This window comes from Homo sapiens, chromosome 16 (assembly GCF_000001405.40).
Source record: "Homo sapiens chromosome 16, GRCh38.p14 Primary Assembly".
Taxonomy (NCBI): domain Eukaryota; kingdom Metazoa; phylum Chordata; class Mammalia; order Primates; family Hominidae; genus Homo; species Homo sapiens.
The window spans coordinates 2,196,942-2,211,092 of NC_000016.10; the positions used below are offsets into that span (position 1 = coordinate 2,196,942).

The following is a 14,151-nucleotide window of genomic DNA, read 5'->3' on the forward strand; positions in this document are numbered from 1 at the left end:
CAGAGAGGCTTCCAGAGGCTGCGGGACCCGCGGGGGACGGTTCCGAGGCAGCGGGCGGGCGGGGACCGGGCGCCGAGAGACCCGGGCGCCAGTGCCCCTGGAGCCGGCCCGCCAGGCTGTCAGGCGTTCCTGGCCCAGGGTTCCCGTGGGAGGTGTCGAGGGATTGTGAAGAGGAATCTCCCAATAATGAATTCGGTGTCAGGGAACCCGCACCCCCAACCCCCAAGCATCCTCCTGCTCCTCTCCGCAAATAATGCGGGCGCCACAGCTTCCCCCAGCCTCAGTCCGAAGCCTGACCCCAAGGTAGCCCCCACCACCCCCACTGAGGGAGCTCAACTCCCCACTCCCCGCACCGACTGGGGGTCGCCTCCATCTCCATCCACAGGGGCTGGAACCTCCCGCCGGCACCAACCGACCCCCGGCCCACGTCTGCCCACTCTCCAGCCTGCAGCCCAGGCAGGCGAGTCCTGCTTCCTGGGTGCTGGAGGCCCCGACTTGTGACCCTCTGAGCTCCTGGCTGAAGGCTTGGGCCACCCTGCGCCTCAGGCCCTCTCCCGTCAGGCCTGCAGCATTCTAGAGGCAGATCAGTGGGGGTCTGAGTCCCGACTCAGGCTCCGTTTCCCTCATCACCCAAGCGGGCAAGGCCGTTTGGAGAATTTGGGGAGGGTCGCACCCATTCTATGAGGCATGGCCTGGCACCCCACTCTGTGTGGCCCCAGACCATTGAGCAGGTCCAGGGGGACAGAGGAGGTCAGACAGCAGGGACAGGGAAGGTGACAGGCACCGGGGTCCCGGCATCCTGTGGGCAGCTGGCCGTTCCCGTTCCCTCCGTGGGGTCTCCTGTTAGGTTCAGGTAGCAGCCCTTGGTCTTCCAGCACTCCTGGGAGGGGTCCCCAAATGCTAGGGCCTTTCCTCTTGCCCTTTCCAATGACCAGTTGAGTACCCGCTGGGTCAGGCACTGTGCTGGTCACCTCCTAGATGAGGTTGGACTCACTGTCCCCATTTTACAGATGAAGAAACTGAGGCTCAGAGAAGCCAAGGGGCTCACCTGGGGTCCCAGAGTCTTGAGGTTGTAAGTCTGGGCTTTGCACCCGCACCTCTGGATGTGTCCTATTCCCCCTCTTAGTGGTTTGTGACCATGAGCTGGTCACTTTGTCATTCTTTTTTCTGAGACAGGGTCTCGCTCTGTCGTCCAGGCTGGGGTGCAGTGACGCCATCATAGCTCACTGCAGCCTCAACATCCCAGGCTCAAGCAGTCCTCCCGCCTCAGCCTCCTGAGTAGCGCCCGGCTAATTTTTTTTGATTTTTAATAGAGATGAGGTCTCAGTATGTTACCTAGACTGGTCTCGAACTCCTGGCCTCAAGCAGTCCTCCCACCTCAACCTCCCAAAGTGCTGGGATTGCAGACGTGAGCTACCACACCCAGCCCACTGCCTAAGTGTCTGTGCCCCTCTGTAAAATGAGGATATGCATGCTACCTCCCCTTAGGTTACTGGAGGATAAATTGTGATACTATCCACAAAGCATTTCACGGCAGGACTTAGTAAGTGCTCAAAAAAATGGCTGCTGTAGATATTGTGATATTCTTGGGCCTCTCTGCCTGTGCAGCAACTGTGTTTTGTGCATCTTTGTATCTACGCTACCTTGCAGTGTGAAGAGCACATAGGAAGAACTAAAAATAAAAATAAGATAGCTGCTGGCATTACTATTACTTTTATGTTTTGGACATGTTAAGGCAAACCACCCTGACCTGTGCTTAACACACAAACAGAAGCCCACACACCAAATGTTCAAATATTTAAACGCTACAAATCACGCCAGTCACCTGTTAAGTATGTTCTATTCTCCTACCTTGACAAATATACCTTCATCATGGCCTGAAAGCCCAAGTTCGAATTGAGAATTCTCAGATTCCTCGGGTGATGAACTGGCCCCCGTTTGTAGCTACCTCACCTGTTCTCTGCTCAGCTCCAGCACTGTCCACACCCCATAAACAGGCACCCCCTTAGTCGCTCCTCAGAGCTAGGGTGGGCACCCTGCTGCGTGGCCCACCTTCAGGAGGACAGACTGGGCAGAGGGCTGTGCCGATCCTGGAAGTGGGCTTGGGGCTGTTTGGGCAGGAAACTCCAGGGTCCTACGTGCTCAGAGTGTGGTCTAGAAGGGGCACCTAGGCTCCAGGTGGATTGCTGCTCAGGACCTCAGAGATTCCTCACCCCATGGGGTGCAGTGTGGCAGGAGGGGACCAGAGCCTTCTGCTAGGTGAGGATAAGCCCAGGAGGGACTGGGAAGCGTTGGATCTGATGCTGTAACCAGTAACTTTGGGTGAGTCCCCGATGCTCAGCTGCCTCATCTGTGAAATGGGCCAGCAGCTCCGCCTGCAGCTTAGGGCTGACGGGAAGGTCCCCATGAAAACAGATGTGTGTCTGCCTGGGGTCCCTGCAGCCTGGGGATGGGGGGGCAGGGCAGGTGGCCACTCTGGCTGGGGGATGAGGATGCAGAGGTGTGGGACTCGGGCAGCCCTCCAGGAAGTCAAGCCTCCAAGGATGATCCTGGGAGGGGGCCTCTGAGCCAGCAGAATTGCTGAGGCTCAGCCTGGAATGGAGCTGGCGGAGGCTTCACTGCAGCCTGGGCTGGCCTCCTTCCCAGATGTACGGTGTGTGCCGGCCAGCCCGCAGCCCCTTCCTCTGCCCACTGGCTGTGTGTCTGCTCAGGGGCTCCCTGGTGGTCCCCCAAGCCCCCAAAGCTCTGGTATGGGCATGAGGAACGTGCCCTCCCATGGGCTGGCTGCTGTGGCTCCTCTCATTCTTGTGGCACCGCCTCTGACAGCACTGAGCTGGGGCCCGGACCATCACCGAGGATCGACCCCCACACACCACCGTCCCAGCCTCCTGCCCCACAGAAATGCAGGAGCTACTCAGGTTGGGTTGGGGCCACGACCAGTTTGTCAGCTTCCCCTAGGCTTGGGACACATGCAGGCTCCCAGAGCTGGCCCCTGCCCTCAGCCCCCATGTGCCGCCCAGAGGCCCCACGGAAAAGGCAAACAGTGCAGGGCCCTGAGACACGTAGGACCCCACGCACCTAGCTGAGCCTGCCTCAGCCCCACCCTGTCTCCTGCTCTCTGCTCCCGGGTCTATGCTGCTCCAGACACTGCTGGGATTCGAAGGCGCTTCCTCTCCCAGCCATCCAAGCCCACATGCTCACCTCTACTCCCCAAAGCTGCCCCAAGCCTGGTATAGAGCCTGGTTAGAGAGCCCCTGTCTACTTCGAGAGGAAGATGAGGAGGACTATGGGGTGCAGGGGCTGCCTGGGGAGTAGTCACCTCACCAGAAGGGGCATGATCAGTGGCAGGTGGAGCCCCAGCAGGATGGGGCCCGGCCTAGAGCTGAACAAACCCTGGGCTCCACCACCTTCTAGCCCTATGCCCTCCACATGCAATTCTGCATCTCTGAGCCTCAGTTTTCTCATCTCCAAAATGAGGGTGATTCTTCCCTACTGGAGTCATTGTGAGGACTCCATGCATAAGGCAGGTAAAATGCTCCTATAGCCCAGCAATTCCGCTCTGCGTATTTACCAAGAGATGCAAACACGTTCTCAGACATTGGCACACAACCACACAACCATTCACAGCAGCCCCATTCATGACAGCCAAAAAGGAGGAGACACCCCAAATGTCCACCTATGGACGAGAAGATACATAAAACGTGCTCTAGTCATACAGTGGAATATTACTTAGCCATAGAAAAAGAATGTACTGGCTGGGCATGGTGGCTCATGCCTGTAATCTCAGCACTTTGGGTGGTGAGAGTTGTAATCACTCACCTCTCAGGACAGAGGCGGGTGTATTGCTTCAGCCCAGGAGTTCAAGACCAGCCCAGGCAAGACAATGAGACCCCGTCTCTACAAAACAAACAAACAGAAAGTTTACGCTGTGGTGTCAGCATTCAGGAGCAGGTTGTTCAGTTTCCATGCAGTTGAGTGGTTTTGAGTGAGTTTCTTCATCCTGAGTTCTAGTTTGAGTGCACTGTAGAAAGTTTTTTCTTTTCTTTTCTTTTCTTGAGACGGAGTCTTGTTCTGTCACCCAGGCTAGAGTGCAGTGGAGCGATCTTGGCTCACTGCAAACTCCGCCTCCAAGGTTCAAGCGATTCTTCTGCCTCAGCCTCCTGAGTAGTTGGGATTACAGGTGCCTGGCACCTCACCCAGCTAATTTTTGTACTTTTAGTAGAGACTGGGTTTCACCATCTTGGCCAGGCTGGTCTCAAACTCCTGAACTCGTGATCCACCCGCCTTGGCCTCCCAAAGCGCTGGGATTACAGGCATGAGCCACTGCACCCGGCCAAAAAGTTTTCTTTACTTTCCTTTTTTTTTTTTTTTTTTTTTAGATGGAGTTTCACCCTGTCACCAGGCTGGAGTGCAGTGGTACAATCTCGGCTCACTGCAACCTCTGACTCCCAGGTTCAAGCGATTCTCCTGCCTCAGCCTCCCGAGTAGCTGGGACTACAGGCGTGTGCCACCATGCCCAGCTAATTTTTGTATTTTTAGTAGAGATGGGGTTTCACCATGTTGGCCAGGATGGTCTCAATCTCTTGACCTCGTGATCCACTGGCCTCGGCCTCCCAAAGTGCTGGGATTACAGGCGTGAGCCACCGCGCCTGGCCTACACTTAGCTAATTTTTTTTAAGGTTTTTGCAGAGAAGAGGTCATCTTGCCATCTTGCCCAGGTTAGCCTCAAACTCCTAGGATCAAGCGATCCTCCCACCTCGATCCCCCAAAGTGCTGGGATTACAGGTGTGAGCTACCATGCCCAGCCAAAAGAAAATGTTACTAGATATGCTGAAAACCAGGAATTTGGCAGGTAAGGCGTAGAGGGAAAAGCATCCCAGACACAGTCAAGGGCTCAAAGGGGAGAACATGGCCAGGTGCTGTGGCTCACGCCTGTAATCCTAGCACTTTGGGAGGCCGAGGCGGCAGATCACGAGATCAGGAGTTCGAAACCAGCCTGGCCAATATGGTGAAACCCCGTCTCTCCTATAAATACAAAAAGGTAGCCAGGCGTGGTGCGGGGTGCCTGTAATCTCAGCTACTTGGGAGGAGTCTGAGGCAGGAGAATTGCTTGAACCCAGGAGGCAGAGGTTGCAGTGAGCCGAGATTGCGCCATTGCACTCCATCCCCGTCAGCAGTGTGAGATTCCGTCTGAAAAACAAAACAAAAGAAAACAAAAGAGGAGAACATGTCTCCTTTGGCCAGAGTACAGGACCCATGGAGTATTAGTCCATTTTCATACTGCAATAAAGAACACCTGAGACTGGATAATTTATAAAGGAAAGAGGTGTAGTTGACTCACAGTTCAGCATGGCTGGGGAGGCCTCAGGAAAGTTACAATCATGGCGGAAGGCGAAGCGGAAGCAAGGCACCTTCTCCGCAAGGCGGCAGGAAGGAGAAGTGGAGCAAAGGAGGAGGAACCCCTTATAAAACCATCAGATCTCTTGAGATCTCACTCACTATCATGAGAACGGCATGGGGGAACCTGCCCTCATGATTCAGTTACCTCCACCTGGTCTCTCCTTTGACACATGGGGATTATGGGGATTACAATTCAAGACGAGATTTGGGTGGGGACACAAAGCCTAATGGTATCACATGGAGAGGAGATGGAAGCCACAGGATGGGCCAGGGCCAGGGCCAGGCCCAGGAGTCTGGAGAGGGACAGGGACCCCTGAGGGCTTCTAATGGGGTGATCAAGTCATTCCTAGGTTTTGCTGGGGGTTTTTGTTTTGTTTTGAGAAAAGGTCTTGCTCTGTCACCCAGCCTGGAGTGCAGTGGCTCAACCACAGCTTACTGCAGCCTCGAGTTCCTGGCCTCGAGTGATCCTTCCACCTCAGCCTCCCAAAGCTGGGACCACAGGCACGCACCACCATTCCTGACTAATTTTTAAATTTTTTGTAGAGATGGGGTATCACTATATTGTTCAGGATGGTCTTGAACTTCTGGGCTCGAGTGATCCTCCTGCCTCAGCCTTCGAAAGTGCTGGGATTACAGGCATGAATCACTGTGCTGGGCTCAGACTGAGGTTTTTAAAAGGCCACTCTGGCCGGGCGCGATGGCTCACGCCTGTAAACCTAGCACTTTGAGAAGCTGAGGTGGGTGGGTCACTTGAGGTTAGGAATTCAAGACCAGCCTGACCAACATGGAGAAACCCTGTCTCTACTAAAAATACAAAATTAGCTGGGATGGTGGTGCATGCCTGTAATCCCAGCTACTCAGGAGACTGAGGAACCCAGGAGGTGGAGGTTGCAGCGAGTCGAGATCGCGCCATTGCACTCCAGCCTGGGCAACAAGAGTGAAAATCCGTCTCAAAAATAAATAAATAAATAAATAAATAAATAAATAAATAAATAAAAGGCCATTCTGCACTGTGGTGGACAGTTTGGAAGGGGGCCAGAGTGGCTGGGGCAAGGAAGGAGGCTTTTATGGGGGATGGGGGTGGTGAGCTAGAACCAGGGCAGTGGAAAGGACAGGAAGGTATATCACAGGTAAAATCGGTGGCTGAAGGGAAGGGAAGGGTGAGGGAGGGGAGGTGTCGGATCTTGCCCAGCTGTAATACAAGGTGGGCACTGCCCACAGAAGGGGAGCTACTCAGGGATGGGTTGTCTTGGCCCTGGAATATGGTGGACCCTGCGGGGCATTCAAGGGACAGTGTCTTAACAGGGAGCTGAGGCCATCAGAGCTGGAGACAGGGTGGAAGGGGCCCAGGACAGGGACAGCATTGGAAGCTCCAGAGCTAGCAGTCATCAGCCCCCTGGTATCTCGTGGGGTGCACAGAGTGAATGCTGAAGGGCCTGAGTCCTTGCGGGCAGGCAGGGAAAGAGACTAAATGTCGGGGACAGGAGCTAGGAGAAGGCAGCCTTTCAGGCATGGTGCCGTCAACCATGGCTCAGATGCGTCAAGAAGTGGGAGGGGGCCGGGCGCAGTGGCTCACGCCTGTAATCCCAGCACTTTGGGAGGCTGAGGGGGGCGGATCACGAGGTCACGAGATCAAGACCATCCACCATCCTGGCCAACATGGTGAAAAGTCTGTCTCTACTAAAAATAGAAAAATTAACTGGGTGTGGTGGCATGCACCTGTAATCCCAGCTACCCGGGAGGCTGAGGCAGGAGAATAGCTTGAACCCGGGAGGTGGAGATTGTGGAGAGCCGAGATCGCACCACTGCACTCCAGCCTGGCAACAAAGCGAGACTCCGTCTCAATAAAAAAAAAAAAAAAAAGAAAGAAGAAGTGGGAAGAGGCCGGGCGCAGTGGCTCACGCCTGTAATCCCAGCACTTTGGGAGGCTGAGGTAGGCGGATCACTTGAGGTCAGGAGTTTGAGACCAGCCTTGCGAACATGGTGAAATCCCGTCTCCACTAAAAATACAAAAATCAGCCAGGTGTGGTGGTGCGTGCCTGTAATCCCAGCTACTCGGGAGGCTGAGGCAGGAAAATCGCTTGAACCTGGGAGGCAGAGGTTTTGCAGTGAGTCGAGATTGCACCACTGCACTCCAGCCTGGGCGAGAAAGCGAGACTCTGTCTCGAGAGAAAAAAAAAAAAAAGGTGGGAAGAAGGAAAAGTATCCACTGGATTTAGCAAAGTGAGATTGTCAGTGACCTTGAGGAATTTCCACTGGAGAGCTAGAGAGCTGGGGGTAAAAGGCAGATGACTGGGGTTGCGGAATGAGTGGGAGGTGAGGACGTGGAACTAGAAAAATGGTGAGGACCGCTCTTTGAAGAAGATAATTTGGGATTGTTTTATGGTGTTTTTTTAAAGGCTAACCGGCAGGAAGGAGAGGAGGTGAAGGTATAGGAAGGAAGGCTCCATGGGAACTATGGCCTGGTCAAGGGACAAGATGCACCCCCTCTGCGGCCAGAGGAAGGGGTGCAGCCAGGTCTGTAAGAGCAGCAGGAAAAAACCATGCGACAGCCTGTCTCAAGGGTGAGGGCACCGGCGTGGAGCTCACAGAGCTGGAATGAGGGCCTGTGGTTTTGAGGGGGACCCTGGGCTCAGTGGGATGTCCTGAGGGTCAGGCTGGGGCTGGGGTGCCAGATCTAGCAAGTAAAACTACAGGATACCCAATAAAATTTTTTTAGCATAAGTATTTCCCATGCAATGTCCTGGATATACTTACACTAAAAAAAAAATTATTCGTTACTTGTCTGAATTCAAGTCCTGTAATTTTCAGCCAATCCTAGCCCAGCGTGGCGCAGTAGTGGGTCAGGGAGGGCACCGGAACAGCGCGACCCGACAGCCCGGGAAACGGACAGCCGTGTCAGAAGGGCAGGTGCCAGTGGGCAGGAGGCCGGAGAGAAAGCCGCAGCTTCCTTCCACCTCGCGCCGGGCCCGCGGCCGCGCACGGGGACCGCTCCGAGTTCCTCCCGGCGGGAACCCCCCGCCCCAGAACTTTGGTCTCGTCCCACCCACCCCCGCCCGCGCCATGGTCTCGCCCTAGGGAGCCATCGATAACTCTACGCTCGGCCTCGATCGACTCGCTCCGGCTCCCCTCGCCGTCCTGGACACGGCGGAGTGCGGAGCCGCCCGTAAGGTACGGAGGCCGCGAGCCAGGGGCCGGGAACCGGCTGCTGGGTGGCTGGGAGAGCACGGCCAGGGGAAGCCGGCCAGCAGGACGGAGCAAGGGCGGTCACCGGAGGAAAGGGGAGCTCGGGGGTCCAGCCAGACTGCGCCCTTTCCCATCAGGGCCTGCCGCTGGCCTGCTACGCATGCGCAGCCGCAGCGCTCGGCTTTCCCCGGCCCATCCGCCGCCTTGCGCACGCGCAGCCCGCCCCTGCGGCAGAGTGGCGCCCGCGCGTGACTCCCCCCTGCCGGCTGCGGAGGTGGGGGGGGGACGGCGCCCCCGCCGTGTGCGTGGGGCGGGGATGGAGCACGCGCCCTGGAGCCCCGGAGCCAGGTATCACGCGTGTGACGCGTGTCCCTGAACCTACCTGCGCTTCTTGTCCCAACTCTAAAATGGGAATGATAAGCGCCATTCGGCAGCGCCTTGTGGGTCTATAATCTACTTAGCACAGAGAGTGTCTTCTAAGTACTTCACATCCTTCTCTGCAGATGCTCTGACCTTTGACCCCTGCCGTTCAGCTCTAGGGCCCGTGCAGGCCACACCATGAACACCTCCCCAGGCACGGTGGGCAGTGACCCGGTCATCCTGGCCACTGCAGGCTACGACCACACCGTGCGCTTCTGGCAGGCCCACAGCGGCATCTGCACCCGGACGGTGCAGCACCAGGACTCCGTATCCTCCACCCGGGGCGGGCAGGGCGGCGCTGGGGGGATGCCTCGTGTGGGGACCACAGCCTGTGTGAAGGCCAGATGGTGGAGGCCTGGGGGGCCCTGGCCTCAGGGCTACCTTCCCGTCATCCTCCTTAACAGTCCCAGCAGGTGAATGCCTTGGAGGTCACACCGGACCGCAGCATGATTGCTGCTGCAGGTATCTGTGATCCTTGATCTCTAAACTCCTGAGCTCTGGTGGGTCGACCTCAGCACAGCCAAGCTTCAGTTCAGCCTGTGTCCCTAGGTTACCAGCACATCCGCATGTATGATCTCAACTCCAATAACCCTAACCCCATCATCAGCTACGACGGCGTCAACAAGAACATCGCGTCTGTGGGCTTCCACGAAGACGGCCGCTGGATGTACACGGGCGGCGAGGACTGCACAGCCAGGATCTGGGACCTCAGGTGCGGTGGGGAGGGGGCGTGCTGCCCGGGGCTGGGGTGGGCTGCTCTGGGAGACCGTTTTAGGTTGGGTTCTCTTCAAGCAGAGGCTGAGACAGGGAGCTTCCTGTGGGCGACTTACTGAGAGAAGTGAGGACAGGAGGAGAGTGAATTGCATCAGAGCGCGAGTCCTGCCTTGAGCCCGGAGCCAGCTTGTTATTCCCCTTCCACCAGCCACTGGCTTAGGCTCCCTGCTGGAGCAGAGGGCCCTGCGTCCCAAGTATTTCCCAAGAGGCAGGTCCTTCAGCAGAGGGAGGGGAGGAATGGCCAGGCCGAGGCCATCTGGGTAGGGCACCAACAAGCCCAGATGGACAGCATGTGCCCCGGCCCGGCCCGCAGGTCCCGGAACCTGCAGTGCCAGCGGATCTTCCAGGTGAACGCACCCATTAACTGCGTGTGCCTGCACCCCAACCAGGTGAGGGGTGCTCATGGGGCCAGGCACCCTGGGACTTTGGAGGGCTGGGCTTGGGCCCTGCCTCACCACCCCTGCACCCCAGGCAGAGCTCATCGTGGGTGACCAGAGCGGGGCTATCCACATCTGGGACTTGAAAACAGACCACAACGAGCAGCTGATCCCTGAGCCCGAGGTCTCCATCACGTCCGCCCACATCGATCCCGACGCCAGCTACATGGCAGCTGTCAATAGCACCGTGAGTCCTGGTGGCAGGTGCTGGGTGCGGGCAGCTTGGCACTCAGCCCTCAGCCTCTGCAGGTGGGCTTATTCCTGGATGTCCCTTAGCGGCCCCCTCCTGCTTTCCCCATCCCGGGCACTAACACCCACCTTGCCAGCAAAGCCAGAAGCCTTAGTGTCGCTCCCGATGGCTTAGTCCTGTCTGCAGGTCGGTCACTCCGCTTTCTGGAGTCTCTCCCAAGTCGATCCACTTCCCTCTTTTCACTCTGTTGCCTCCTGGTCCCAGTCACCCTTGTTTCTGGTGACGGCTGACACACTCTCTGAGGCTTCCTTTCCCCCTCCCTGACCTCCCCTGGCCCCTGACACGTTCTCTCTTGGATGCTTCTAGTGGTGCCTGGTCAGTATCAGCCAGGTGGCGTCATTCCCCTGAGGAGACCCGGGGCTGCTGGCCTCGCCCGTAGGCTGCTGTGGCGTGGCCCCTGCTCTTCTCTCCAGCCTCATTTTTTTTCATTAACTTCATTTAATCCCAGTGCATCACTTGTACCTCTTGCCCCCGGATTTCCCTTCTGCTGGCCTTTGTCATGCTGTCTCTCTAGCTGGTGCCCTTCTCCTGTCTACTTCCGTTGGCCATCGGCATCCTCCAGGAAGGAGAATTTGAGTCCTTGGCCAGGCGTGGCCTCCTGTTCTTGGCTTGCCAGGTGTGGCCCTTGCTTGGGGCCAGGCTTCCCAGGTGCCTTCTGCAGGCAGGACCAGAGGGGCCTGCCTGCCCCTCACCCGGGGTCCCCATGCACAGTTGGCCCCCAGTGTTGGCCCCCAGGGCATCCTTCCCTGTGTCTCAGACCTGAGGCCTTGGGCCCTCCGTGACGGTCCTCCTGACCTCTAGGGAAACTGCTATGTCTGGAATCTGACGGGGGGCATTGGTGACGAGGTGACCCAGCTCATCCCCAAGACTAAGATCCCTGCCCACACGCGCTACGCCCTGCAGTGTCGCTTCAGCCCCGACTCCACGTGCGTGCAGGGCCTGCTGGCCCGGGAGGGGACCTGCCTGGGCTGGGGGCTGGAGAGGGGAGGGGCTGCTGGATGGAGTGGCTGCTGCTGGACACGCCCCATGCCCACCCACTAGGCTCCTCGCCACCTGCTCGGCTGATCAGACGTGCAAGATCTGGAGGACGTCCAACTTCTCCCTGATGACGGAGCTGAGCATCAAGAGCGGCAACCCCGGGGAGTCCTCCCGCGGCTGGATGTGGGGCTGCGCCTTCTCGGGGGACTCCCAGTACATCGTCACTGGTGAGCCCCGCCCTGGCCTCCCCCATCCCTGGCCCCCGGCGCTGGCCTCCAGAGCCAGCCCACCTCGGCTGCAGCTTCCCCTCTGCTGGGGCCGCCTGCTTGGCCTGCACCTGCGCTCTTAGCCCTGCACAATCTCCCCCTCCAGCTTCCTCGGACAACCTGGCCCGGCTCTGGTGTGTGGAGACTGGAGAGATCAAGAGAGAGTATGGCGGCCACCAGAAGGCTGTTGTCTGCCTGGCCTTCAATGACAGTGTGCTGGGCTAGCCTGTGACCCCTCGGGACTGCCTGGTGCAGGTGGTGGCAGCTGGAGGGACCCATGCAGCACCCAGGTCAGAGCAGACCCTCCCCTGCCGGCCTGCGCCAGCTGGACCTGATGGCCCCCTGTGGCGCCTTGACCTGCTGGGCCAGGCTGCCCTGGGACTCTCAGCCCCCAGTTGCTTATCCAGATGTGACAGAGCTCGACCCAAGCCAGGCTGCACACTCCTGGACTGGGCTAGCCTGCACTGCCTGGGAAAGTCGGCCGAGGGCCCAAAGCTGCTGAGGGGTCTGAGGCTGGTGCCCACCCCCAAGCTAGTGTGTTCTCTGCCCCTCCCTGCCCGCGTTTCAGGGCCTCGGTCCATAGAGAACACCACCACCATGGCCAGGTGGAAGGGTTTATTAGTCCCTGCCAGCAGCTGTCCTCCCTGGTGCAGGTGGCCTGGCCAGCCCACTGGATTGGGGACGGGCCAGGCTGGGCCAGGTCGGGGGCTCAGTCTGGGAGGTAATAAAAGCAGACCGACACGCAGATGTTGCTCGGGAAGCAGATGTCGATGCAGAGATAAATCAGCCGCTGTCTCCGGGGCCCTGTGGCGAGGGTGCCGTGAATCTCCAAGGGCTCCGCCCCCAGCTCCTCAAACCATCCCGAGGGCCTGGCCTTCCCCCACAGCGGTCCTGACTCACCCTCTGCTCGCCGGGCCCAGTAGATGGGGGTCCTCATGCACAGGCGCTGCACCAAAGCCCCCGCCTGGGCGGGGTCCACTTCGAGGCTCCCCTGCACTGCCAGCAGCTCCTGGGTGTGGTGGGTGTCCTGGCTGGGGACCCAAGCCTCTTGGACCTGTTGAGAAGGCTCTGGTGGGCGGTGGGACAGGGCTGCTCCCTGCTCCTGGCTTGGCAGGGCCGGGTACCCTCCAACCCCCAGTGATGTCCCCACCCTCAGCTCTTGTCAGCAGCCTGGGCTTAGGGCGGAGAGAGCTTCCTGTTCCCTGAAACCACAGCTCCAGCCTGTCCCGTACTGGGCTGCACACAGGACCCTTTGTCTAGCCCCTGGCCCGGGCCTGCGCCCAGCAGGACGGCTCACCTTGGAGGTATCCACCAGCAGCCGCAGGGTCTCCCGATCACTGTCCTCCATCAGGCGGAGGAAGCAGACCTGGTGCTCCTCAGGGCGGTAACAGATGCAGCCCTGGGGAGGCAGGGGGGTGAGGCGGGGCCCCCCAGACCGACACCTGCCAGGGTGACCCCTCCCTGCCCACTCACGCTCTGCCCGTCGAACAGCACCGCCCAGCTGTGGTTGCTCTGAGGTGGGGTCACTGTGATGGTCGCCGCGTTCCGGGCCACGTCCACCAGGATGGTTTGGTTGGGCCGGGGCATGTGGGGGCTCGGGAGGGTCATTCGCAGCGTCTGCAGCCTTGGCTGGCAGTGGGAGTTGGAGTTCAGCCGGGCAGCTGTGCAACCCCAGCACAGCCTCCAGCTCTGGGCTGCAGGACTCCTGACACCCCTGAGTGGGCCCTTCCACCCCTTGGTCCTCTGGCTGTCTGCTCCTAGGTGGTGTCACTGCCTGCTCCGCACCCTTGCTCTGCTGGAGGCTGGGATATGCCAGCTTCCCTTCTCCCTTTCCACTGTCCATGTCCCTGGTGCTGAGGAGGGGCTCACCTTGGGAGGGCCCTGAGCAGAGCCAAGAAGCCCTCCAGCCACAACCCCCACAGCGGCCAGCACCAGCAGCAGCAGCAGCAGGAGCAGGCTCACGGCTCTCCAGCCCCCGCAGGAGGGCTTGGTCTTCACCTGGGCGTGCATCAGGGTCAGAAGGGTCATGAGGGTTAGACATCAGGGAGCAAGTGGGCTGGGGAAGGGAGGGGCTGGGTGGCCTGGGGCACCCCCTGGGTCCTTGCTGCAGGAGTAACGGGAGGCACTCACCCCTGTAGGCCCAGGTTTGGGGCGCTCAGCACAGCAGCTTGCTGGTTCCATCCTGCAGCCCCTGCTCACAATGTGCCGATTGTCTGCGTCCCTTGTCTGCAGCCTTGGCCAGGGGAAACTCAGAACAGAACCCCTCCCCTCCTGACCCTGCGCCTCCCCCTCAGCTCTGGATCTGATATCCAGGTCAGAGCCAGGACAGCCCCTCCTCCCACCTGGGGGATGCCTGTCACCAGGCCCGGCTCCAGACACCTGGCCTGTGCAGACTGGAGCTCAGGGTCTGGGAGGCGTAGGGCTCGGCCGCGTGGAAATC

The 14,151-nt window shown here is 58.9% G+C and overlaps 2 protein-coding genes across 18 annotated transcripts, besides 5 other annotated features; one reads left to right on the forward strand and one right to left on the reverse strand.

The window, feature by feature from the left end:
* Positions 7,488–8,328: an enhancer, noted in NCBI's record as "H3K27ac-H3K4me1 hESC enhancer chr16:2254430-2255270 (GRCh37/hg19 assembly coordinates)". NCBI's record gives its function as "activates a minimal SCP1, AML or CMV promoter by ChIP-STARR-seq in naive H9 embryonic stem cells {active_cell/tissue: H9 hESC(naive)}" and the evidence as "EXISTENCE:reporter gene assay evidence [ECO:0000049][PMID:30033119]".
* Positions 8,421–9,070: a silencer, noted in NCBI's record as "silent region_7034". NCBI's record gives its function as "represses an Ori minimal core promoter by ATAC-STARR-seq in GM12878 lymphoblastoid cells {active_cell/tissue: GM12878}" and the evidence as "EXISTENCE:reporter gene assay evidence [ECO:0000049][PMID:35858748]".
* On the forward strand, positions 8,513–12,512 carry MLST8 (MTOR associated protein MLST8). 15 transcript variants are annotated; one of them, NR_147905.2, is made up of 9 exons: positions 8,513–8,571; positions 9,090–9,273; positions 9,417–9,468; positions 9,556–9,718; positions 10,094–10,169; positions 10,252–11,083; positions 11,269–11,393; positions 11,509–11,672; positions 11,818–12,512. NR_147905.2 is itself a non-coding variant. In NM_001199174.3 (9 exons), the coding sequence occupies exons 2-9, from the start codon at positions 9,145–9,147 to the stop codon at positions 11,934–11,936; spliced, it is 981 nt and encodes a 326-aa protein (NP_001186103.1). In that variant the 5' UTR covers positions 8,513–8,934; positions 9,090–9,144; the 3' UTR covers positions 11,937–12,512. The 15 variants fall into 15 exon arrangements, 11 of the variants coding, with proteins under 11 accessions (NP_001186103.1, XP_005255532.3, XP_047290422.1 ...); NR_147904.2 differs by having other exon boundaries at positions 9,120–9,273; NM_001199174.3 differs by having other exon boundaries at positions 8,513–8,934; positions 10,252–10,404.
* Positions 9,168–10,007: an enhancer, noted in NCBI's record as "H3K27ac-H3K4me1 hESC enhancer chr16:2256110-2256949 (GRCh37/hg19 assembly coordinates)". NCBI's record gives its function as "activates a minimal SCP1, AML or CMV promoter by ChIP-STARR-seq in naive and primed H9 embryonic stem cells {active_cell/tissue: H9 hESC(naive and primed)}" and the evidence as "EXISTENCE:reporter gene assay evidence [ECO:0000049][PMID:30033119]".
* Positions 10,008–10,846: an enhancer, noted in NCBI's record as "H3K4me1 hESC enhancer chr16:2256950-2257788 (GRCh37/hg19 assembly coordinates)". NCBI's record gives its function as "activates a minimal SCP1, AML or CMV promoter by ChIP-STARR-seq in primed H9 embryonic stem cells {active_cell/tissue: H9 hESC(primed)}" and the evidence as "EXISTENCE:reporter gene assay evidence [ECO:0000049][PMID:30033119]".
* BRICD5 (BRICHOS domain containing 5) lies at positions 12,312–13,922 on the reverse strand. 3 transcript variants are annotated; one of them, NM_182563.4, is made up of 6 exons: positions 13,842–13,922; positions 13,581–13,709; positions 13,185–13,340; positions 13,009–13,110; positions 12,612–12,765; positions 12,312–12,515 (listed from the first exon to the last, which is right to left on the reverse strand). In NM_182563.4, exons 1-6 carry the CDS (start codon positions 13,890–13,892, stop codon positions 12,421–12,423), a joined length of 687 nt encoding a protein of 228 aa, NP_872369.2. In that variant the 5' UTR covers positions 13,893–13,922; the 3' UTR covers positions 12,312–12,420. The 3 variants fall into 3 exon arrangements, with proteins under 3 accessions (NP_872369.2, XP_047289914.1, XP_047289915.1); XM_047433958.1 differs by having other exon boundaries at positions 12,312–12,765; XM_047433959.1 differs by having other exon boundaries at positions 13,009–13,340; positions 13,581–13,922.
* Positions 13,177–13,367: a silencer, noted in NCBI's record as "fragment chr16:2260119-2260309 (GRCh37/hg19 assembly coordinates)". NCBI's record gives its function as "represses an EF-1alpha promoter that drives an FKBP-Casp9 reporter gene in an ReSE screen in K562 erythroleukemia cells {active_cell/tissue: K562}" and the evidence as "EXISTENCE:reporter gene assay evidence [ECO:0000049][PMID:32094911]".
* Positions 13,923–14,151: the final 229 nt, after the last annotated feature.